At 39.5% G+C, this 26119-nt stretch overlaps 1 protein-coding gene and 1 non-coding gene across 2 annotated transcripts in view; both read left to right on the forward strand.

Moving 5' to 3' along the window:
• MRC1 (mannose receptor C-type 1) overlaps nucleotides 1-26119 on the forward strand; it is a 101817-nt gene that overhangs the window by 13645 nt on the left and 62053 nt on the right. The window contains exons 2-6 of the mRNA NM_002438.4: nucleotides 82-483; nucleotides 4550-4723; nucleotides 10683-10847; nucleotides 17701-17814; nucleotides 22297-22443. Of these exons, the coding sequence (NP_002429.1) occupies nucleotides 82-483; nucleotides 4550-4723; nucleotides 10683-10847; nucleotides 17701-17814; nucleotides 22297-22443 (1002 nt within the window). The remainder of the gene's footprint in view (nucleotides 1-81; nucleotides 484-4549; nucleotides 4724-10682; nucleotides 10848-17700; nucleotides 17815-22296; nucleotides 22444-26119) is intronic.
• MIR511 (microRNA 511) lies at nucleotides 22115-22201 on the forward strand. The gene has a single exon (NR_030167.1). It is a non-coding gene; the product is annotated as a microRNA 511 (primary transcript).

A 26119-nucleotide genomic window follows, 5' to 3' on the forward strand; every position in this document is an offset into this window, starting at 1 on the left:
TAAAAGATCGTCCTTGTTACATGAATCCACTTAGCCATGCTTGCTTTCTTCTTCTTTTCCTGCTTCTTTCTTTTTAAACAGACACCAGGCAATTTTTAATCTATAATGAAGATCACAAGCGCTGCGTGGATGCAGTGAGTCCCAGTGCCGTCCAAACCGCAGCTTGCAACCAGGATGCCGAATCACAGAAATTCCGATGGGTGTCCGAATCTCAGATTATGAGTGTTGCATTTAAATTATGCCTGGGAGTGCCATCAAAAACGGACTGGGTTGCTATCACTCTCTATGCCTGTGACTCAAAAAGTGAATTTCAGAAATGGGAGTGCAAAAATGACACACTTTTGGGGATCAAAGGAGAAGATTTATTTTTTAACTACGGCAACAGACAAGAAAAGAATATTATGCTCTACAAGGGATCGGGTTTATGGAGCAGGTGGAAGATCTATGGAACCACAGACAATCTGTGCTCCAGAGGTTATGAAGGTAAGATGCCTGGAATTTTCACCTTCGTGTTGAAATTTTCTCGTCTTCTTAGTTGGAACCTGATTCAAGAAAATCATCATGTTCTTGTTTGGCGTGTACTAGAAATATCAATTGATCAGCATCTTTGTGTTTTCAACTATTCTGTAGGACTATTCTGAGGACATGATGGTGAATAAATGTGATTAAAAAGTCCTGAATGATACTTCAGCTATTTTTACTTAATGGGAAGACATTCTTTTAACTTTCTCTGAGGTTTTATTTTTTTAACTATGGGCTACATTTTTCAGAAAATCGTTTTCATTGTAGTCTTTGACCCAAAGCCTCCTAGTTAACATTATAAAGTTGTAGTGATAAATACATTTAGCCAAATATGTCTTTTCCTTTAAGTTATCCCTGGAAAAATGATCCATAGAACATTCTTTCCCAATTTAGATTGCCTAAGATGAAATCTCGGCAGATCCCTTGGCGACATGGGATTCTAAATGTTACTGATTTATTTTGTCAGGTTATGGGTATTTAGAGACTGTAATAATCAGAAGATTATAAAATCTCTAGGATTAGCTTGTAAATTAATATGCAGTCTATTTAGTTAGCCATCAGAGAAGGTGATACCTCCAATGCGGTGGGAGGAATCCTCTTATATGTAGTTGGTTTCTTGACCTCTTGAAGGTTAAATAAAATCAGAGTATTTAGTTCTTTCTTATATTGACCAAATTTCACTATCTGGTGGCTGCACAGAAAACAAAACAAAAATACAACACAACTTGAAGGCTTGTTACAAAGGCTGGTCTCTTGAGTCAGATGATGTTATAATCACATTTTAGGTTTGGATACTTCGTTATTGTGAAGTGTTATCTAGAACAACCTCAAGGTCAGAGAAAGAGCCTACTTTTGGGGACAAGAGATAACCTGTTTCCAAAATTGCTATGTTACGGGGCTACTAAGATTGGTTGAACCTAGCTTATCTCAGCTAAGACTGAGCATAGCAATTTAGTTCTTTATAAGGCAATAATTTGTGAGCTTTCCATTTTCCATCTAGGCACAGAAGAAGGGAGAGTAGGAATTGAAGTACGGTGAGAGAAGGGCTCAGAAATAAGTTATTTTGAAGCATTTTTCAAACATAATATAGGTTTAGAAGTGATATGAGGGGCAAGCTAAGTGAACACAAAAAAAACCTTTCAGGAGAAACTCAACAGAAAATTACAAGGAAGGAGAAGGGTGAATTAAACTTGACGGAGTCAAATTCCACAGGTGGGACAATTGTGCTAATTGAGGAGTTTAACTTGAGGAAGATTGGCGCTAAGAAATCGGATTTTTATTTTATTTTAAAATATAATATTATGCTTCCCTCACCCCCTACCCTTTCTGTTTCCCCATTGGTTTTGAGACAAATATACATAGGGTTTGGGCTAATAGTTCTCAAACTTTAATATGCTTAAGAATCACTTGGAAAGTTTGTTAAAAATATAGATCCTAAGCTCCCCCTTCTACTAGATTCTTAATATACATATTGGGAAAAACCCCAGGAATCTATTCAATGATTTCTATGAAGACCCGGGTGATTCTGTGGCATAGGGTCTATTGACTACATTTTGCATACTCCCCAAAGATCTCCCAGCACTTAAGATGATCCTGCTCCTCAGTTCTAGCTCTGCAGAGTGACCACGAGATTGGGAACACACATTAGAACTGAAGACAGTGTCGAGAGGATGTATTGTAGGGTCTCTGTATCTCTGATGAGAACATGGGGGAGGGGTAGAATGGTGGAACTTTTTGAAAATAGGAATTATTTTAGAAGAATGGAACCAGAATTGTAGACTTAGATGGATTTGATGGTTATTTGGAAGTTCAGACTCCAAGAAGAAGACAAATTGACTGCAGTTACATGATGTGTCAGTGGGGTAGTTGGGGTTCTTTTGGCCTCATCAGTGTTGGGTGTATAGAATGGCTCAGTAGTTATTAAACAGAGTTAGTTAATAAAGCTGGCAGGCGTGGTGGCTCACGCCTGTAATCCCAGCACCTTGGGAGGCTAAGGCAAGAGGATCACTTGATTTCGGGAGTTCAAGACCAGTTTGGGCAACCTAGTGAGACCTAAACAAAATGTAAAAATAAGCTTGGTACTGTGGTGTTCACCTGTAGTCCGAGGTATTCAGGAGGCTGAGGTGGGAGCATTACTTGAGCCCAGGTAATTGAGGCTGCAGTGAGCCATCATTGCGCCACCTACTGCAGCCTGTGTGACAGAGTGAGATCCTGTCTCAAAAATAAAATAAGTAAATAAAGCTATATGTCATTGGCATCTGTAAATCCAGCGCTGAACATTTCTTGGCTAATGATGACCAGTACAACTAACCCCAAGGTGGTCTTGACTGGTTTCCTTTGTACGAAGAAACAGTCATCCCAGTGACTAAGAATGGCGCAATTATTTCTGAATACAGCGTGTTCCTAATACAATATATGATTTGGAGACCATTCCCATAACTTAGTGGAACTAAAGCTGGAATCGCATTTTAAAGTTATTAACAACTACCTTTTTGACAAAAAAGGAATTTTGAGGTCATTAAAAATAAACCTAATATTTAAAGAGGACTTGATAATTACAATGAGTAAAGGAAAAAGAAAAGAGGTCAATAACTCACATTATTGTGCTCTTACTATGCGCTACATGTTTTACAAGCTTTATATTATCAAAATGACTAAATGTCTTTTAAGAAATTTTTCTTCCTTTTTTTTTAAGATTTATTTTTTGACGCAGAGTCTCACTCTGTCACCCAGGCTGGAGTACAGTGGCGTGATCTCGGCTCACAGCAACCTCCGCCTCCCGGGTTCAAGCGATTCTCCTGCCTCAGCCTCCTGAGTAGTTGGGATTACAGGTGCCTGCCACCATGCCCAGCTAGTTTTTCTATTTTTAGTGGAGACAGGGTTTCACCATTTTGGCCAGGCTGATCTCAATTCCTGACCTCTAGTGATCCGCCTGCCTTGGCCTCTCAAAGCGCTGGGATTGCAAGCGTGAGACAAGCTAAGAACTTTTTCAAGTCGTAGAATCTGCAAAATGTAATGAATTCCTACCTAGGATAAATTCTGAATGTCAGTTGGTGGCAAGAGGTCAAATACTTTAATGTAAAAAGTTGTTATCTCTACAAAGATGGAGACTTTAAACATACTGGACAATGTAGCTATGTGCATTGTTTGGTTCTTAGTGGAGAGATGAGCTTCCTTAACCTTTTTGGCTTAAGCCAAACCATAATCAACAATGATTCTGTGTTTGTTTCAATTAACATTTCTAGTTGAACCCAGAGCTTCCCACTCAATCTGTTGGCCTTAACTTGTTGAAAAGAAAAACCTTGATTGTAGATGGTATATAACAGTTTTGAGTGGTTTCTTTTCATGATAGGGATTAGAGAACAATGCCAAAATGTCTATCCTTCCTTATGGTCATTGTTGAGGAACTCAGGTGAAGGCTGGCTTGACAAGAAGTGGTTGGAGGGGATTTAATTATTGACTATGTGTTTGGGCTATACAGCTTTAAGGTTTTTTTTAATCTAGAGATTCCAAAGCTCCATGATTCCAATCAAGAGAAAGAACTGTTTCAGAGGAAATTCAGAAGTTAAAGCTGGTGTCAATAGAGGAAGGAGGAAAAGACAGTGGAAAATGAAGTGGTACTATGAGTTATTATTACCACTTTAACTAGTATCACTTCATTTTCCACTGTCATTGGTACCACTTTGAATTGTACCATTTGAACATTTTCAAATGGTACAACTTAACAAATTAGTCTCGTTTGAAAATGTCCCAAAACGCAGTGGAAATGAAGTGGTACTAAGAGTTATTTGCTAAGTACAGACAGCTCTATGTACCCAGCAAAAGACTAGGGTAGAAGGAGAAGGAAAAAAAATACCCAAAAAAAAAAAAAAAAAAAAAAAAAAAAAAAAAAAAAAGAAATCCCTCTGTGGGTGCATCAAGTGTAATCAGAACAGTAAGACCAATTCCTTCAGTAGGCTTCTTATTGGAAAGTTAATGTTCAGAAATATCACTCACATTCCAAGTTCAAGTCAATATGTTTTTCCAGCCATGTATACGCTACTAGGCAATGCCAATGGAGCAACCTGTGCATTCCCGTTCAAGTTTGAAAACAAGTGGTACGCAGATTGCACGAGTGCTGGGCGGTCGGATGGATGGCTCTGGTGCGGAACCACTACTGACTATGACACAGACAAGCTATTTGGATATTGTCCATTGAAATGTAAGTACTGTTTATCACCAAGAAAAGTTGGGCACATTTAGTCTGATAATGTAGTGAAAGACCTTGAATTTATCTAGAGCATTTTTCCCCAAAGTTATTTCACATTTACGACCTCATTGTACCTACTACAGCCCTTTACAGACGTTATTATTTCCATTTTCCAATGGAGAAAATGATCTATATTGGCTGAAGACTAGAACACAGATGTTGGACTTTATACTGTAGGCTTTGTATGTGTATTTTGATTTTGCCAGTAAGACTAGAGTCACCCCTACTGTCTCAGCATTCCCTGAGATCATGCTAAGAGGACTAGACTGTACCCCCATGGTCCCAACATTCCCTCCATCAAGTGACCTCTTTATTTATTTATTTATTTTTTGAGACGGAGTCTCGCTGTGTCTCCCAGGCTGGAGTGTGGTGGTGCGATCTCCACTCACTGCAAGCTCCGCCTCCCGAGTTCACGCCCTTCTCCTGCCTCAGCCTCCCGAGTAGCTGGGACTACAGGCGCCCGCCACCACGCCTGGCTAATTTTTTGTATTTTTAGTAGAGACGGGGTTTCACTGTGTTAGCCAGGATGGTCTCGATCTGCTAACCTCGTGATCCGCCCACCTCGCCTCCCAAAGTGTTGGGTTTACAGGCATGAGCCGGCGCGCCCGACTATGACCTCTTTATTTTTACCAACTATCAGTTACTCAGCGAAAATTATCCTGTACACAATATAGTATATACTTAACACGGGAGGTAGGTAGGCATGCTATTATTCCCTCATCTCTGAAATGCCTTACCTTTATGAAACCATAGATCAAAAACAGAATTCAAAGGAAGCCACAAGCATGTGGTTTGATGGAGAAAGACGTGAAGGTCCTGAATTTTGTGTCAATGTCATCAAAAGTGTTCTTCACAGTGAAAATGATAGTCAGGATACTCTTCTTATGTTTAAATTAAGAAGGGTGCCATTTAGTTTCACACAGCTAGAAATCAATGGAACTCGGTAATTTATATGCTTCAAGGTTTCTTAAAAATGAAAATTCAGGTTTTATTGCAAGGATGCAAAATAAGCAGTATCGCATTATCTTAGTGGGAAAGCACCAGAACAGATGAATTCTTGGTGTTCTTCCACGCTTAAAAATCTGTAGGCAAATAGTGAAGCACATTTTAGGTGGAGTGGAGGAGGGCGTCATGTTGAAGGCAGAGCTGGGGCTGAGGAAAAAGGAAAAGGAAGTATTCCTCTTAGCTTCACGTTCCCCATCACCAGACACCCTCCTCCTGATGCTGGCTCCACCCTTCCCAAACTTCTTACCCCCGACCTCTCACCTGCTACTTTAGACCAGATCAGAGTAGCTCTTGTTTCCTGGTTATCACCCAGAACTCTTTCTCCTGCTGCCCTGCAAAGGGACTGGGCAGAGCAAAGAGCATTCGATATGGTCTGGGATGATTGTGACACCACCTGAGTAACAATAGAATCACGACTATCACAACTCAACTTTCCAGACCACAAATCCACAAGTAATCACACTATTTCAAGCATTATTGTAAAACAGAACAACTTAAAAAATACCTGAATTTGACGAACAAAAGCCAGAATTCTAAGAATTGTACTTATTTATCTCTCTGGATTTATAATCCCTAATTATCACACTAAAAGTAAATTTAATTTCTGAGCCCCATATACTATTGTAATTGTCTTCAGAGTGCAGTCTCTCCAATCCGAATGAATACTCACAAAAGCCCATAGGCTTTCTGTTCATAGCGACACTGCTGCCTCGGTCTTAACTGAGGTAGTTCTATTTGTCTCTCTTATGTCAATCTTTAGAAAGACATTTGATTTCCATTCAAGGTTTTTAGATGTCGAATTTTGTATTCGAAGTATTTTTGTCTGAAACACATTGAGCAATTTTTTTCTAAGATAAAGCAATACTTGGTTTTCAAGTGATTGAAAGTGTCTTTCTCCTTTACTTAATAGGAATGATATTTTCTTAATCTGTTTCATGGACTTTCTTAAGGGTATATATTTCATGGGTCCAACTATAGCATCCTCCACATCCTTTGAAATTGACAAAGGAGTTAGATGAATGTGTGATTTCCTGAATGAAATGTGGAGGACAAGTGGTAAGTTACTAATCACAAAGAAAACTCACAATCTTGGAAATCCTTGGATGTGTGTTGGAGACGTATCTTGAGTTTGTTCAGTGGAATAATTTTTTAGTCTTATTACTTGTATTTATGCCTTCACTGTCAAATTATATATTTTTTCCTGTTAAATGTAAAATAATCGTAGAAAATAAATTGATTTGGTTTCAATATGCATTAAAATTTTAAATCACGTTTTGTACATTTAATATCTTTCTTAAAGGGCTTTATAGTCTTCCAGTCTGTTTCATTTTGTGTTCTTTTCAAAAGAGTTTTTATTGTATTTATTTATTTATTTATTTTTGAGACAGGGTCTCACTCTGTCATCCAGACTGGAGTGCATTAGCATGATCTTGGCTCACCACAACCTCTGCCTCCCAGGCTCAAGTGATTCTCCTGCCTCAGCCTCCTGAGTAGCTGGGATTACAGGCACCCACCATCACGCCTGGCTAGTTTTTGTATTTTGAGTAGAGAAGGGGTTTCACCATGTTGCCCAGGCTGGTCTCGAACTCCTGACCTCAAATGATCCACCCACCTCGGCCTCCCAAAGTGTTGGGATTACAGGTGTGAGCCACCGTGCCCGGACGAGCATTTTATTTTATATCAGCCTTAAAAGTGGCAGGTTTTATACAGGAGGATGAGGAACCAGTTATTAACCTAGTAACACTTAGTAGATGCTCTCCATTGTCCGTTGCATTGTTTATTGTAATGCTTTCCTTCCATGTAGACATTTATTTTCAAGTATCGTGAGAACAGGTAAAGGAAAATTCTTGGTTCTCTCAGTTCTCTGTAGCAAGTTTAGCTTCCAGCATCAGTTGTGTTGGTTTACTGTGGGAATTTGAACTCCTTGGGGAGATGGTATGCAATCAGCAAACCTAAACATTAATTGAGAAATATGTTTAAATCCCTTGGTTTAAAATGTACTTTCTTTAAGTGAAAGGTCAATTGCATTTCCTTCTTACGTCATTTATGTCACTTGCCTCCATTCCTAGGTTTAAAAACAACAACAAAACCCTTTTTTATGTCTCACATTTTCTACTATATATATATATATATTTTTGGAGACAGAGTCTTGCTCTGTCACTGAGGCTGGAGTGCAGTGGCATGATCTCGGCTCACTGCAACCTCTGCCTCCCGGGTTCAAGTGATTCTCCTGCCTCAGCCTCCTGAGTAGCTGGGATTACAGGCGCGTGCCACCATACCTGGGTAATTTTTTTTTTTTTTGTATTTTTAGTAGAGACGGAGTTTCACCATGTTGGTCAGGCTGATCGCGAACTCCTAACCTTGTGATCCGCCCACCTCAGACTCCAAAGTGCTGGGATTGCAGTCGTGAGCCATGGCGCCCGCATTTTCTACCATATTATAAACAAAACCTTCCTCCAGTTGTCTAAAACGAGTTGTTTAAAACATCTCTATCTTCAAATATACCCCAAATTAGTCTTATTTGAATGGTCTCACCGACATACACATGAAACTTGCAACACCTCAGATCATTATAATTTAAATTTAGCATTACTGATTCAAATTTATTTTTATATAAGCATATAATGATTTTGTAGTTAAAGCACCTTAAAAATTTGTATGCTGTTGCCTGAATCAAATTTTGATATGTTTTCTTCCTCTTTGATATGTCATGGGACCACAAGTTTCATATCATGGTGTGTGGTTTGCATATTACAAAAAGGTCTATGATCGCTTCCTCATCAGATATAAAGGGCAATTAGATACAGTTAAGAGTTACAAGAGTGTAGGCTATGTGCTTATGGAAAATTGCCTAATTTCTTAGTAAATTGAGTATTTCTCAGAACATTTTCAGAGAAGTTATATAATACTTCCTTTTTTCCTTACAAATAAATGAAAAGATCATTACTTCACATGGCTTGTAAGCAGAATTTTATATTATTAAAAAGAAAAAAGAAATATTCACTACATGAAGCATGCCAAAATATTTCATTTGTTTACTAGCTTCGCAAACATCATATATGTGAAAAACTATCAATAATATTTATTTGTATATCATTGGCCGCTTACAGAGTACAACCAGGTTTATGGAATTTATTAGGAATCATAAAATAGCAAAGGAAGAAATCAGCTTGTGATTTTTTACTCTGTGGAATGAAAAAGTTACAAGCAACATTTGCTATTGCTAAGCGCTCCACCTGTATTAAATATATTCTAGCAATGAGAAAACGAGACTTCAAAAGTTAATAATTTATCTGAAGTCAAGTCTCCAGTGAGCGATAGGACCTCAGGTGCAGGCCCAGGCCAGTCTGTCTGCAGGAGTCCGTGACCTTCCCTGCTGACAATCTTATGCTTCCAGAAAGACCAAACTAGAATGTGCAGGCAAAGGCAAAATATCCACCTGCTGAGAAGATGTACGTTTATTTTCTTTGCTTCCCCTGCCTTACTTTACTAGATCAAGGAATTTGGGCTGGTATCCGTTCTTTTAAAACATGTTTTATTCACTTTGGGAAGCCGAGGCGGGTGGATCACAAGGTCAGGAGATCGAGACCATCCTGGCTAACACCTTGAAACCCCGTCTCTACTAAAAATACAAAAATTAGCCGGGCGTGGCGGCGTGTGCCTGTCGTCCCAGCTGCTGGGGAGGCTGAGGCAGGAGAATGGCGTGAACCCGGGAGGCGGAGCTTGCAGTGAGCCGAGATTGCACCACTGCACTCCAGCCTGGGCGACAGAGCGAGACTCTGTCTCAAACAAAACAAAACAAACAAAAAAAGTTTTATTTTTATTTATTTAGTTTTTGAGACGGAGTCTCGCTCTGTCGCCCAGGCTGGAGTGCAGTGACGCGATCTCGGCTCACTGCAAGCTCCGCCTCCCGGGTTCACGCCATTCTCCTGCCTCAGCCTCCCGAGTAGCTGGGACTACAGGCGCCCGCCACCACGCCCGGCTAATTTTTTTTGTATTTTTAATAGAGATGGGGTTTCACTGTGTTAGCCAAGATGATCTCCATCTCCTGACCTTGTGATCCGCCAGCCTCGGCCTCCCAAAGTGCTAGGATTACAGGCGTGAGCCGCTGTGCCCGGCTATTTTTATTTTTATATATGTAGGGGGTATATGTGCAGATGTCTTGCATGCATATATTGCATCATGGCAAAGTCTGGGTACCCGAACTGTGAACATTGTACCCAATGGATAATTTTTGAATCCTCACCCTCCCACCCTCCCACCTTTTGTAGTATCCAAGGTCTATTGTCTTTATATTTGTCTCACTTCCCAACTCAATTGATCCCGAAAGGGAAATCGTGCCTGCCTTTCTTTCTTTAGGCATGTGGAAAAGACTGGATGTAGCTGATCCTTTGAAACCTCATCCCCTACTTCCTATTTCATTTCAGGAGTAAAGAAAATCTCAAAGTCATCTTAAAAACAAGTAAAACAGTCCGGGCATAGTAGCTCACCTTTGTAATCCCAGCACTTTGGGAAGCTGAGGCAGGAGAATGGCTTGAGAACAGGAGTTTTAGACTAGCCTGGGCCACATAGAGAGACTACATTTCTGCAAAAAGTTAAAAAGTTAGCCAGGCATGGTGGTGCATGCCTGGAGTCCCAGCTACTCGGTAAACTGAGGTGGGAAGATTGTTTAACCTCAAGAGTTGGAGAGTACAGTGAGCCAGAATCACAGCACTGCACTCCAGCCTGGGCAACAGAGCAAGACTCTGTCTCAAAAAAAAAAAAAAAAAGTAGAAAGGGGGAAAAAAAGAAAGGAAAGAAAGAAAGTGCTTCAGGCAAAAATGCTCCTAGGTGGTTTAAATAATACTATTCACTGGAAGTGTTTTCTATGCATAATGAACCAAATTCCATCTGATTTCTTTCACAGTTGAGGGCAGTGAAAGCTTATGGAATAAAGACCCGCTGACCAGCGTTTCCTACCAGATAAACTCCAAATCCGCTTTAACGTGGCACCAGGCGAGGAAAAGCTGCCAACAACAGAACGCTGAGCTCCTGAGCATCACAGAGATTCATGAGCAAACATACCTGACAGGTAAGGACATGAAAAGTCTCAAGTAAAATCATGACTGCTTTATTTTTATATAATTTAACTTAGAAGTCAACAGCACAAGTGTTTATAGATGTTATGACAGAAGCAATTCTTAAGCAGTTTATGTGGATGTCATGACAAATCTGTACTCTGAAAATGACACCAGGGATGGCAAATAGCTCTCATTTCCTGTGCCAACTATTGGTTTTAAGAGTCTCTAGAGCCAGTGCTAAGAAGGATTCTGAGGGCTAATCTAGAATCAGAGTAAAAGATGCCACAATCGATTAATGATGTCGTTCTTGGACGCAAGGCAGTGGAACAATCCTGGTCAAGTATCCATCATCCAGGTCTAACCTGAAGCCACAGGTCTTTCATTAGCCTCATAGAGGTCAAAATGATAAATTAAAAGACTGCTACCACTGGCAGAGACAAGTCAGAGGCTGTTTTGAAACCCTGAAACCCTGAGTTCTTTTAGCCTCCTGTCCCTCGAACCCCCAGGCTCTACCAGTTTTCAGGTTTTATTGATACTCTTTCCACAATGTGTTTGGTTTTGATGTTGTTTTGTTTTGTGTTGTGTTGTTTTGTTTTGTTTTGAGACGGAGTTTCCCTCTTGTAGCCCAGACTGGAGTGCAATGACGCAATCTCAGCTCACTGTAACCTCCACCTCCCGGGTTCACATGATTCTCCTGCCTCAGCCTCCCACGTAGCTGGGATTACAGGTGCTTGCCACCATGCCCAGCTAATTTTTTGTATTTTTAGTAGAGACGGGGTTTCACTAGGTTGGACAGGCTGGTCATGAACTCCTGGCCTCAGGTGATCCACCTGCCTTGGCCTCCCAAAGTGCTGGGATTACAGGCGTGAGCCACCGTGCCTGGCCAATGTGTTTGTTTTTAAAATATCTGTTTTTATTAGATTGTGAAGACTAAAAGGGCTAAAGTTTGCTTGAGAAGAGAGTATCCGTTTTAGCTTCTAAAATATACACTTGGGGAAACAGAGAGATTAGGATCAGAAATTAGTGTGGGAGCAAAAGCATCCCCGATTTCTTGCCCCCAAAATCTCCTCCCTCCAGTTTTTCTGGACACGGCTATATTAATATTAGTCTGTCTCTGCTCCTATGACTGCCATGTTCAAAAAACCCCTTGTGGCTTCTCATTTCCCATCAAATAATTAACAAAATACATTTTGCCTGACATTCAAGATTGCCACCTGCTGAACATCTGTACTATTCCCGGTCTTGCATTTTGCGGTCACAACAAAAGAAAAGTCAGTCTTGGATTCCTTGTTTTTCCTCATCCATTCTCACCCTCACATCTTTTCCCATGTCATTTCTTTTGCCTGGAATTCTCACGATTGTGTACAGTTGAAATGCAATTCTATTTCCATCTGCATTTCTCTTATTTGCTTATTACCACTTTTATTAGTATAATAGCTACTTACACATATGTCCTGCTTCCTTGACAACACTATAAATACATTAATTTGTTATTATTTATTTACTTATTCATTCATTCCCAAGATATCTTGTACCCATGTGCCAGGCTTTGTGCTAGGTCCTGGGGACATCAAAGCTGACCCTGTCTTGTCCACATGCAGCTTAAAAGTCCAATGGGAAGAAACAGATGTAAACAAGAAAACAAACAAATGAATAGGTACCAATTATAATAAGTCCTGCATGGAAAGCAAACTGAAGGCCATGTGGAGATCGCGTCAGAGGGGGAAATAGCTGAAAACGGGGAATGTCTTGTGAATATTTATGACCCCTCTTCCCCCAAGGAGGTTCACACAGAGCCTTCCAAGGAAGGGTCTCACCAAACATTTGCTGACTGACATGTTAACATGCAACAAAATAAAAATACTTAGAAATTCAGTCTCCTGTTTGGAAAACTAGACAGTCATGGCAAGAAGACAGTAAATGCAGTGGTTCTTCTGTGTGAAGTGGCTTATTCATCACCTTGGAATTCTGTTAAAGTGATGATGCCTGGGCTGAGATCCCGAAGACTCTAGATCAGTAGGTGTGACACAGGGCACAAGAATCTGCCTTTTGTCAAACTCCTGGGTGATTCTGGGGCAGCTGGTTGAAAGACCATATCTGGCAAAACACTGTGTTAGTTCCTGCTGTATCCAGGTGCTAACACCAGGCAGCAGAGCAGAGAGGCTGAGAGCAAAGATTCTGCAGCCAGACTGCCTAGGTCCCAGCTCTGTGAAACTGGGGGAGCTTGTGGGGATTTGCTGAGGCACCTGTGCTTTGGTGACCTTGTCTGTTAAAAGAGCTAATGTGTGTGAGCCAATACAAGGGCAAGAGCACACTCCCTACCTTGCCTCATTTCTTAGCACCTACCTTTTTCCAGCTATTTTCAGATGACACCCGTCACCAACCAGAACACATCTCTCCTATAAGTTATTATTAAGGAGACCGAGGATAGAAAAGCAATATGATGTCACTGTGGATTCATAGTCTTAGAGATAGGGTTCTTCCTCTGTCTGCTCAATTATTCTGTTTTGCATTAGCCTTTGGGACCCTTCTAATAGTGGAACAGAAAGGATCAGAGTGATTCATATTTACAACCATGCACAAAAATAAGGAGGAAGAGGAGAAAGTACAGAATAGACAAAAGTAAATTTATGTAGATGATTAAGGAATAGAAAAGATGATTCGAGGCAGTCTTGTGGTTATTTGGGCAGACTTGCAGGCACGAGAGAAAATGTATCAGAGGTGGTCTGGGCACAGTGGCTCACCCTTGTATTCCCATCACTTTGGGAGGCCGAGGTGGGTGGATCACCTGAGGTCAGGAGTTTGAGACCTGCTTGGCCAACATGGTGAAATCCCATCTCTACTAAAAATACAAAAAATTAGCTGGGCACGGTGGCAGGCTCCTGTATTCCCAGCTACTCGGGAGGCTGAGGTAGGAGAATGGCTTGAACCTGGGAGGTGGAGGTTGCAGTGAGTCGAGATCGCACCATTGCACTCCAGCCTGGGCAACAAGAGTGAAACTCGTCTCAAAAATAAATAAATAAATAAAAATTTAAAAAAAAAGGAAAGAAAATATATCAGAGGTGCAGAGGTGAAATGGTTTCAGTTGATGTGTTTTTGGTTTTTGTGTTTGAATTTATTTGTGGGGTGTGTTATCTCTTGGAAGCCTGGGGACAGAGCACAGGTTACTTTGTGCGCTCTCCACCAGCTACAGAGAAGGAGCAAGTGATCTGAGCGGACAGCGGCTTTGCCCAAGCACAGACTCATTTCCTGGTTCCCGGACTCTGCTATCGGACTCGAGCTGCAGGAAATGCTTCCCTAATCAGCAAGGGCTTTTCTTGTGTCTATCAGGACAGCAAACAAGCCCCAGGAGATCCAGAGGCTGGGTTCACCTCAGATACTTACTTGAATCTTATCCAAGCCTCCGGAATTTCAGTCAGCAAATTTTCACTGGCATCTGGATAAGAATGGCATCTCTAACGAGATTTGTAGTACTTCCTGCCTTTCTTTAAGTAAAAAATGTCAGGCATTAGGACAAGAAAAACTCTGACAGGGAATTTAAAAAATAGGGGAAAGATATTCCCTCCCCACTGTTTATTTGAAAGAAAGGGATGATACTCAGTGTTGATTGAGATATATTGGGGAATAATCCAGAAAACAGTGGTGTGAGTGTGTAATTGCAATCCACTCTATTTTGGAAAATATGCCATTAAAATGAAAAAACAACCTACAAAATATTTACACTTTTAAAATAAGTTTTCTTTTATGTGAGGGTTTTGAAAAGTCTGTATCTTTTTATTTTATTTTATTTTATTTTATTTATTATTATTATTTTTTTTGAGACAAAGTCTCACTCTGTCGCCCGGGCTGGAGTGCAGTGGCACTAGGACTTAAGTGATTCTCGTGCCTCAGCCTCCTGAGTAGCTGGGGCTACAGGCATGTGCCACCAAGCCTGGCTAATTTTTTGTATTTTAGTAGACACAGGGTTTCACCATGTTGCCCAGGATGGTTTTGAACTCCTGAGCTCAGCTGATCTACCAGCCTCAGCCTACCAAAGTGCTGGGATTACAGGCGTGAGCCACCATGCTCGGCCAGTCAGTATCATTTTTTAAAAATGTAGAACCTGGTTTGATGACTCTAATTAAATTGTCTGCCAATTACTGAAGAGCTACTACATACTAGTTTCTGGGCTTTAGTTCTAAAGCCCACAGCAACCTCATGAATAAATATTATTAGCCCCACTGTATAGATGAGATAACAGACTAGGAGGGAGAAGTTAGGAAACTTGCTTAATGCCTCCTGTTTAGAAAACAGCTGAACTGGAATTCAGCCCTGTCTTCCATTTCACCCTGCCTGTGTCTCACGCACAGAACACCCGGGGATCCGCTGGTTCCCAAAGCACTGATGAGAACCCTTAATTTTGTCAACATTTCCTGGCTCCAGTAAATGTGTTCCAGATTGGTGGTGATCTGATTTCATATTATCTGCCAGGTGAAATGTTTCTGCCTGGCAACACGTTTGCACACTACCCACAGCTGTTTTATCGTCTTCCCTTCTGTTTCTACCCCGAAAAATGTTGGGACGCTCTATGGAGTCTCTGAGTCCTGAATCAGATTTGTGGCTCCGTATGTGCAGGATGAGGATTTACAGAACTGAAATAAGATATAGGAAGTGAAATTTGGCTTGTTTCCCCGATGGTTTTTACCAGTTTCCTTTGGTACTGCCTGAAAAACACATTGGACCTCAATTAAAAAAAAAAAAAGAAAGTAAAAAAAACAGTGTAATATTGGACATTTGTGTATCTTCTATTACATCTAAGTTCAAAAGTTGGTATATAACCATTTCAGACAATATATGCAGAAAAGTTACGCCTTGAGCATGTGAGGCTGGGCGCAGTGGCTCACGCCTGTAACCCCAGAGCCTTGGGAGGCTGAGGTGGGAGGATTGTTAGAGTTCAGGAGTTCGAGATCAGCCTGGGCACTACAGTAAGACCCCAACTGTACAAAAAAAATTTCTGGTTTGAGTTGGTGTCTGGAAACAAAACAAACAACAAAAATTTAGCATGTGGAATTGTTGCTTTGTGCAGCAATACTAAAATATTTTGGTCTGCTCTTTTATAAAATTACAAAAGCATATTAGAGAAAATTATTTGTGGACAACACCCATCTGCTTTAAGAGATATATTTTAACCCAAGATTTGAATTTTGCTTCTAAGTCACACCTTTGCCAACCTTAATATGAAGCTATTGATAATAATAATAATAATGGTAATAATAACAGTAGTAACTTATATTTATGGGGCATATACCATATGTCAGGCCTTGTTTTAAAAAGTATTAACTAATTCAGTTCTTCAAGACAAGTTTATAAGTACTTAGAGCTGGTAAAAGATGTCAAAAGGTAATTCTCTTAAAGAGCTATTATCATTTCTCATGATGCCAAACATAGTAATTTAGTTACGCAGTCTCAATATCTACTTCAGTTCTTCTTTAATCAGCGAATTATTTATAATTTTTAAAACTTAAATACACTTATTTTCGTAATTAAGTTTTTTAAAATCCCTGAGTAAATTGGTTTTGGGAATAGCTAGTATTAAAATGCTACTTTTAGGAGCATGTCCTGTAGAATACGTCTGTGCAAGTAGAAAGATAATTATATTTAAGTTAGTACAACTTTAAAGAATTTGTGAAAATTCTTTTAAAGAATTTTTTTGAAGGTTGTTGAGTACAGTGGTGTGTACCCTGTAGTCCCAGCTATTTAGGAGACTGAGGTAGGAGGAACGCTTGGACCCAGGAGTTGGAGAGCAACCTGAGCACCATAGTGAGACTCCATCTCTAAAAAATAAAAATAAATTTAAAAAATGTTTTTAAAAGCCAAAGGATAGTTTTTATTTTAATTAATTGCTTTTGATCAATTAAAATAACTCAGAACAGAGAATTCTCATTGATGGTTTCAAAAAAGATAGAGGTGGCAGGGTATGGTGGCTCACGCCTGTAATCCCAGCATATTGGGAGTCTGAGGTGGGCGGATCACCTGAGGTCAGGAGTTTGAGACCAGCCTGGCCAACATAGTGAAATGTCATCCCTCCTAAAAATACAAAAAAAAAAAATTAGCCAGGCGTGGTGGCGGTCACCTGTAATCCCAGCTACTCGAGAGGCTGAGGCAGGAGAATCGCTTGAACCCGAGAGGAGGAGGTTGCAGTGAGTGGAGATTGAGCCACTGAACTCCAGCCTGGGCGACAGTGCAAGACTCCAACTCAAAAAAAAAAAAAAAAAAGAGCGGTAATAATAGGTTAGAGTGTTTACCGCTGAAGAGCTGAGGTCCGTGTTGTTTCTGGTTTTATGACTTCCACATCAGTCCTAGAACAGAATTGGAAACATTGTATTTTTGATTTCTTCACTGCTTAAGCAAAGCATCCTTGGTGTTAGCATAAGCACTTAGTGATTAGTATTTAATCATCATGTTAACGAAGAAGAGAAATTGACTTTAAAAAATGATAAAATAAAATTCTTAGAATAAGGTTTGAAATATGCAGTGGAGGTAACACCTATTCATATTCACACAAGAAGACTTTACACTATCCTTGAGAAAGTAGATAATAGTCAAGATGATGGGGTTTGAAGCCTCATTAGATCTGGGTTGGAACTTTAAAAATCTTACCAGATTACCTATGCTGCCTCTGCCTCCGTTTCCCCACCTATCAGTGAAGGTAATAATTTTACTTGCCTTAGGTTGTCAGGAGAATCAAAGGAGACATGGTAGGCATGATTATTGTTACTTCCCTCAGTGACATTTTGATTCAAGCACTTAGTTCTGAATTTAATTTCAACTGTTTTCTGAATGCCAAGTTCTTGTTTGTTTGTTTTGCTTTCTTTAAAAATATAGGATTAACCAGTTCCTTGACCTCAGGACTCTGGATTGGACTTAACAGTCTGAGCTTCAACAGCGGTTGGCAGTGGAGTGACCGCAGTCCTTTCCGATATTTGAACTGGTTACCAGGTAGGGTTAAGCCTGTTTGTGTCGAATTAATCCAAATTTAAGTCATCTAGACGCCCCGAAGACGTTTATTATCTCACCTGTTGATCTCAAAGAGAAGAATTGGGAGACTTCATCAAATACAGTTCATTTCACCTTGTTTTGAAATCTATGCTAGATTTCCATTTACTGAATTGTAAGGTTATACCAGCTTCCTGGGATAGGGATTTGTCTGCCAGGATTCTCACACAAAACAATAAAGGTCTCTGTTTAAAGTTTCAGTTCTCAGAGTATCCCTGATGTGTTGGGTACTATATTCAAAAGCAGATGTTGTGGCTACTCTTAAACATGATTTACTAAATATGCTACTTGCATTGTTACTATATACTTGCTGTTGCATTGACTTTGTCAACATCCTTGAGAGGATTAGCCAACATCTCTTTGTAAAGTTTGACAAGTGGATTGAAATTATTTTGGGTTGGAGAGATTTTTTATGACTGTACCTTGAGTCATGAGGTATTTGCAATATTGCTGTCCTTGTGACAGTGATTTTAACATCTACATTAACACCCACTTTTCCTGTTTTTGATTTAATAACATCGGCTTAAAAATACTATCTCAGTTACAGCTTATGATATTCCATACTAGCATAAAAATTCATTAGAGGTTTCTCAACAGTAGTTTATAGAAAAACAGAGTTGGGGATGATAAAACCTACAACAGCTTTCTAATTTTTTTAGAGGATAGAAAATGCTGTGAACTAATTATTTCTACATTGTCATAACATGAAAGTAACAGAATATAAAATAAGTTTACATATTGAGCAACTATTTAGAGAAAACAAAAAAATGATATAAAGTTTTTCTTATTCACCAGTACCAACTGGCGTTAGTAGCCACTTGAGGCCTTCTATTGGGTATAAATTCAATCCCCACCCCTCAATCCCACCCCAGTGCCATTTTTTTTTTTTTTTTTTAGGAAAGAGTGCAATTAATGATTAGTGACGTCTGCCGTGGGTGTGGGAAAGGAGAGAAGTATCATATTGGTCACATCTTATCAAATCTCCTATGGGCCATACCATTATAATACGGTGTTCTTCAGACAGTCAGACTTCTCTTTTAAAGCCATTGAGTGGTTTTCGCATTTGGCTTAGAAAACTAAACTCTCCATTTTTGTTTGTTTGTTTGTTTTTGTTTTTGAGACAGGGTCTCACTCTGTTGCCCAGGCTGGAGTGCAGTGGCGCAGTCTCAGCTCACTGCAACCTCAGCCTTCCTGGCTCAAGTCATTCTTGTGCCTCAGCCTCCTAAGAGGCTGGGATTACAAGCATGCACCACCATGCCTGGCTAATTTTTTAATTTTTTGTAGTGATGGGATTTCCCCACATTGGCCAGGCCAGTCTCGAACTTCTGAACTCAAGTGATGTGGCCTGCCTCAACCTCCCAGAGTGCTGGGATTACAGGCGTGAGCCACTGCGCCTGGCGAAAATCTCCATTTTCTATATTGGTTTATTGTATTAAAAGAAGAAAAACTTCAATAAAATAATATTTCAAATAGATGCTAAAACACGAGAAAATTTTTAGAGAATATATTTTGGCTTAAATAAATTAGATTTTACTCTGAAATTCCAGTTTCAAAGCGTTACTTCAACATATGATGGTTACAGTGCTGTCACTCAAGTCTTGAGCCAATAATCAGTTCTATTTTTTTCTGGAACATGGAAGGTAAAAATTTCTGGAATATGGGAAGACTTACTGCAAGGGAATACATATAAAATATCCTTTTTTGTGCGTGAAAATTTAGGTGTCTGTCTACCTATTCAGCCAGATGCAATTAGAGAATACTAGTTGGCCTCAATCAGATTATTAGACAATAAAACTTATTAGGGGACTAGAATTTATTCTTCTTTGTGTTGCTAAATTTTTATACATATTAGGCAGTCATTTAATTTATTCACTTGGGGGTGATGATTATATTTAACCGCTTGCATCCTACGAGTTCAGGGAGAAAACTTCCGGGTTAACTTTGGGTGGAGTAAAGAATGAAAGTGGAATATGATTAAGAAAGGGAAGCAAATGCTTTCTAAAATTAAACTTCAATTCCTAAGAAGTAGGTGCAAGATTAAATCACCTTGCGAAATAGTATGAGAGTTTCTTCCAACTAAAATTAGAGATCTTGTGGAAATTAAAAATCGGTTTCATATTTGTTCAGTCAAGCATTCAATTGAATAATTACCAAGTAATGAAAATATTAAAATATATTCACTTTTGAAGTGAGGATGTTTTGCATAAATGATGTACAAGTGTGAATTCAAATATATAATAACTATGGTAAACATCAAAACCACTAGTTGATGTCTCAAAGTTGAGAGAGGTATTGTATTGATAAATAAATGTGTAATATGATTTACTAATTAGCACATCAATTAATAACTTAGAGCTAGAAATGTATTTGTTTGAAAGTTTCTTTTTAGTGCTGATACCTTATCTGTTAGTTCAGTTATCCTGTTATTTTAGTTACAGTATCAGCAAATGTTTAAGATACCTTTATGCTTATTACTAACTTTATGATAACTTTATGCTTATTACTAACTTTAAGATAACTTTGGCCAGGTGCAGTGGCTCACGCCTGTAATACCAGCACTTTGGGAGGCTGAGGCGGGTGGATCCCGAGGTCAGGAGTTCAAGACCAGCCTGGTCAAGATGGTGAAACCCCGTCTATACTAAAAATACAAAAATTAGCTGGGCATGGTGTGGGCACTTGTAGTCCCAGCTACTCAGGAGGCTGAGGCAGAGAATTGCTTGAACCCAGGAGGTGGAGGTTGCAGTGAGCTGAGATCACGCCACTGGACTCTAGCCTGAGTGACAGAGCAAAACTCCATCTCAAAAAGAAAAAAAAAAGATAACTTAATGCTTATTACTAACCATTATTTTCTTTGTGTGGTAGTTAAATAAACTTTAAAAAAATCATTTAATTACCACACAAAGAATACCACCAAAACTTTAAAAAGGTTATTTAGGTTATTACCTGCTCCAGACTTTGTGGAGCAGGTAATATGATTTCCGTCTTGCAGGAAAGGAAGTGACATTCAGGCACAGGTTACATACACATTGGAGGTCACAAAGCATAGGTATTAACAGAATGTGGCTCATTCACCCTGTCTTCAGGTGGAAGGTGAAGCTAGTTTGGGGAGTACTGGTTTTTAAATCATATATTAGAGTAGCAAAACGCATGTGAAATGTATCAATGCCTACATTCATCCCTTTAGCAACGTTGACTTTATCTGGTTCTTTAATCAGTTTCCACTAAGAAATGGATAAGGCATAGCTGCTGAAAGTCTTCTTCAGTAGGCTGAGTTGAAGATATTGAGACAGTTTTAGTTCTGGGAGCACAGCATGCTGCCCATCTAGCTCTCCCATTAGCTTTTTCTCCTCCATTTATTTTTATTTTTATTTTTGAGACAGAGTCTCACTCTGTCACCCCGGCTGGAGTGCAGTGGTGTGATCTCCACTCACTGCAACCTCTGCCTCCCAGGTTCAAGCAATTCTCCTGCCTCAGCCTCCCAAGTAGCTGGGATTACAGGTGCCCGCCAGCTCCCCGGCCGATTTTTTTGTATTTTTAGTAGAAATGGGGTTTCATTATGTTGGCCAGGCTGATCTCGAATTCCTGACCTCAGTTGATCCATCCGCCTCAGCCTCCCAAAGTGCTGGGATTACAGGCGTGAGCCACCGTGCCCTGCCCTAATAATGTTTAGTGTGGCAGGTTTGGAACATCATGTATTCTTTCTTTTTAATAAATTCTACTTGTAGATTCAGAGATACATGTACACGGTTGTTACATACCTAGGTAAATTGCATGTTGCTGAGGTTTGGGATATAAATGATCCATCCCATCAACCAGGCAGTGAGCATAGAACCCAGTAGCTAGTTTTCCAAACTTTGTTACCCTCCATTCCTCCCCCATCTCATAGTCCCCAGTTTCTGTTGTTGCCATCTTTGTGTCCATGAGTACTCGGTATTTAGCTCCCACTTAGAAGTGAGAACATGGCTATTTGGCTTTCTGTTCTGCATTAATTCGCTTAGGATAATGGCCTCTAGTTGCATCCATGTTGCTGCAAAGGACATGATGATTTCATTTTTTTTTATGGCGGCATAATCATGCATTCTTTTCATTAGGTACCTCTCTTTGATAATGTAATCCGTTGTGACAACTGTTCAAGTTTTAAGGTGTAGCTTTATTAGCTGATAATGGGGGAAAGGGTTGTTTCAAAGAAGTATATTTGCTTTATCAACATTCTAAGTATTGGAATGATCCAACGATAAGAAAACAATAGACACCCATCGTGTCTTTTGCTCTGCAGTCAGTAAATATTTTTTTGTGAATGTGTAGCAAAAGACAGAATGGTGGTCCATTGAATCCCCAGGATGAAGACATGAGGAGACGTGGGAGGGATGCTATCTGCTGGGAATAGCTATAATAGTCCACTTTAACTTTTCCTTTTCCTCGAAGGAAGTCCATCAGCTGAACCTGGAAAAAGCTGTGTGTCACTAAATCCTGGAAAAAATGCTAAATGGGAAAATCTGGAATGTGTTCAGAAACTGGGCTATATTTGCAAAAAGGGCAACACCACTTTAAATTCTTTTGTTATTCCCTCAGGTAAGTGATCTATGGGATCTGAAGTGCCTCAACTATTAGAATTGAAAGATAAGTAACATTACAGCTTAGGTGTAACTGTTGGAATGCCGCCAGAGGTTTTGTGGATAGTTGATGGGGTAAACTTAATGATATTACTGCAATATTTCTGTGTGCTGGTTGCTAGTATTTCCTGAGTGTGCGGCGGTGTCTGGGCATTGTGGAGATCCTCTGACCTAAATAAAAATGTTACCTTCCCAATCAGTCCTCTGAGGTAGGTGTCATGATTCACATGCTATAGTTGAGGAAAAAGATATTCAGAGGATACAGAAACCTTGCAGACATGGCAAAACCGGAATCCAAGCTAGAAAGTCAACATTTGGAAGGGATGTTTATATTAGGTCCTCACGGCTCTATCTGGGCTTCCTTGCTATTCAGTGTAGCGTCTTATACTAAAGTTTTCATAAAATAGAATAAAATATCTAAAAAGTTGTAACTGAATTTTATTTATTTATTGAGACAGAGTCTCATTCTGTCACCCAGGCTGGAGTACAATGGCGCGATCTCAGCTCACTGCAAACTTCGCCTCCTGGGTTCGTGATTCTCCTGCCTCAGCCTCCCGAGTAGTTGGGATTACAGATGTGTGCCATCACGCCCAGCTAATTTTTGTATTTTTAGCAGAGATGGTGTTTCGCTGTGTTGGCCAGGCTTGTCTTGAACTCCTGACCTTGGGTGATCTACCCACCTCAGCCTCCCAAAGTGCTGGGATTACAGGCATGAGCCACCGTGCCTGGCCTGTAACTGAATTTTAAATATCGGCTAGACTTCAAGAAAAAAAAAAATCAATTGTGTTGTCCCTTACAATTTTATAGGAGAATAAACTACTAAGGCAAGAATTCTTTCTTCCAATTGATGAAAGACAAACTACATATTTTTTATTATTACCTCTTTTTGGAGGGACAGCGAATGCTTTAAATGGTTTAATTTATTTCTGTTTTTCTGCTGGAGGAAACTGACAATGTGGCATTCTTGTTTTTTTCTTCCCATTGGCTTTGAAAGCAATTTCATGTATTTTAAAATACGCTTGACATAGCTAGAGATTCAAAAGATACAACATGATAAATAATAAGGTTTTCCCTACCTCTCACCTGTAACACCCAGTTTACCTTCCTGGAGAATAATTGTTTCTGGGTGTGTATCCTTAGTTATTCTGTGACTATATAAACAAATATATTTATAATTATTTTTGTTTCATACAAATGGCAGTATACTATAATATGTTTTTATCCTAAGTTTTCCACTTAACAACAATTTTGGACATCATTCCACGTAGAATATAAACAGCTTCTATGTTTAATTTTATGGCTGTCCAAAAGCTATTGCAGAGACAGCACATATATTTTTTTGACCGATCTCCTGTGTAATGGATTTTTAATTTAATTTACTTCCAATCTTTTATTAATACAAACAGTCCTGAGGTAAATAACTATATACATTCTATGCACATCATTTCATGCATGTGATCATTCCTGGAAGTGGAATTGTTGGATTAGGGAGGAGATGTGTTTGCAATTTTAATTGATATAGATTTGGCCAAGATCCTAAATAGATATAGATGCGGGACCTGGATGTTGGGTTTGATTATCCTTTACAGGCTCTCCATAGTGACGGTGGGTATCTTTAGAGAAAGCTCACCATTTTTGCATTTTACCTCTACTATTCCTCCTCTAGGAGAAATAGTGTATTTTTTCCTTTTTTGGAAGCCTTCATTACAATTCTCTTTCTAAGACTTGGAATTTCCATGTTGCCAAAGAGGAGAATAGTTACTTTATAGTTTCTCTGGTACAGCACTCAGAATTCTGTAACTTGGCCTTACTGCTTAACCTGCCGGTGCTGGGATCCTCATGTGTAAAATGGAAATGTTCATGACTCTTCTTCCTGAGATAAAATTTTGTTCATTTCATCAAACACTCAGTACATTCTTATTCCTCCATGATGCCTTCTTCACTCGCTAACCACTTGATGTCAGTTTCTGAACATCTCTATACTCCCTGGATTAATGATTCTGTTTTATCTATAAACTCAAATAAACCAGAGCTTGGAAAAGCGTATCAGAGTTCAAATTATGCAGCATACGGGATTAGCAACAGCCTTAGGCAAGAATTCAACCTCAAACCCTGTGAATTATTGTAACACTAACCCGTTTGTCCATAATCCTCAGGTCTCTAGGGCTGTACTCTCTGGCTTAGCAGCCACTTAACCGCATGTGGCCACTGAGCACATGAGCTGTGGCTAGAGGAACAAATCATCTTCTGTGGCTGCCCCAGGGAACTCCCCTTCATTTCACTCAAGTTGGTTGTTTTCATGCTTTCAAATATGTTTAAAGTTCATCATTTCAGTTTTTGAAGGACAGCATTGGCTGATACTATTTTCAATTTCCTAGGTAGCAAAATTAAAATAACCCACCAGAGGGCTCCAAAGCTGTACTAAGCTTGCTTTCTTTTTCTTTTTCTTCTTTTTTTTTTTGTAACCACTGGAAGTGCACAGAATCTAAATTGTATTGAGGGAATAGAATTTTTTTAAATATGCATTTTTTATTACAATTGTACAGCATTTGAGCCTCATGACTGAGTAGTTACTTGTATGACTGCAGGGCACAAAATCCTGGGCTTAAACAATGATGTTTCAGATACTCTCCACCTTTAAGGGAAGATACGACCAATTCATCAAAGGAATAGTGAAGAAAGGTACCCTATAACGAACATATACTAAGACAGCCATTTGAAAACATTTAATATGAGCTTAAATAATATATACGTTCACTTTCATTTGGCAATATAGTCCCCTTCTAAGCAAAACATGTTGCCAAATTACTGTTTGAAATAGTATCTCTAGAATAGTAATAACAAGCAGCCATATATCAACTATAACTTCAATTCTTTTTCTCTTCCAATACTCAATACGCTTATATGTACCAGGCCCTGTGCCAGGCTCAAGGCAATAGGGATGAATAAACATCTGCCTTCAAATGTCTTTATTGTCACTTTCCCCTAGCTCATTACTATTAAATTTTTGCAGCGTATAATCAAGATTATACAATTTGATCCTATTAGTAGCGAGGCTGAGGATGTTGACAGCTGGTTTAATTAAATAATGATTGTGTGGTGCTTGTGATTTACAAGCACACTCTCTCTATTCTTTTCTAGTTCAGAAGAACATGGGGTGGGTGGTTTGATATTAGTGTTAGTACTAATCTCATTTAAAAATTTTCACCTATATGGGTACTCCTTTTCATGTGATGTGACTTGCCGAAGATCACACAACTTACCGCAAATTCAGGTTTTAGGAGTTATGACTCCAGATCCCTCTCCTAGTCACAAGCACGTGTCAGTTTTGGGTAGCAACTAAATGGTAGTGGGTCTGTTCTGAGGCAACAAGTGGCTGACTCATGTGGCTATGGTGGCGGAGGCTCCTTGGAGACCGTTTGTCCCCCAGCCATTCCAGCTCTCTACTTCAACACTAACCTGCCTCTCAAGAGTGACTGGCTCCCTAATGTCCATAGAATAAAGTAAATTCAAATCTTTTAGGGGATGTGTTTAGTCCCCCAAAGCTTTCAGGCCTCCAGCATTTAAACAGTGCATAACAGATGCTTAGTTCAGGTTTGCTGACAAGATTTAGATAATCTAATATGTATTAGTAT

This window comes from Homo sapiens, chromosome 10, assembly GCF_000001405.40.
Source record: "Homo sapiens chromosome 10, GRCh38.p14 Primary Assembly".
Taxonomy (NCBI): Eukaryota; Metazoa; Chordata; class Mammalia; order Primates; family Hominidae; genus Homo; species Homo sapiens.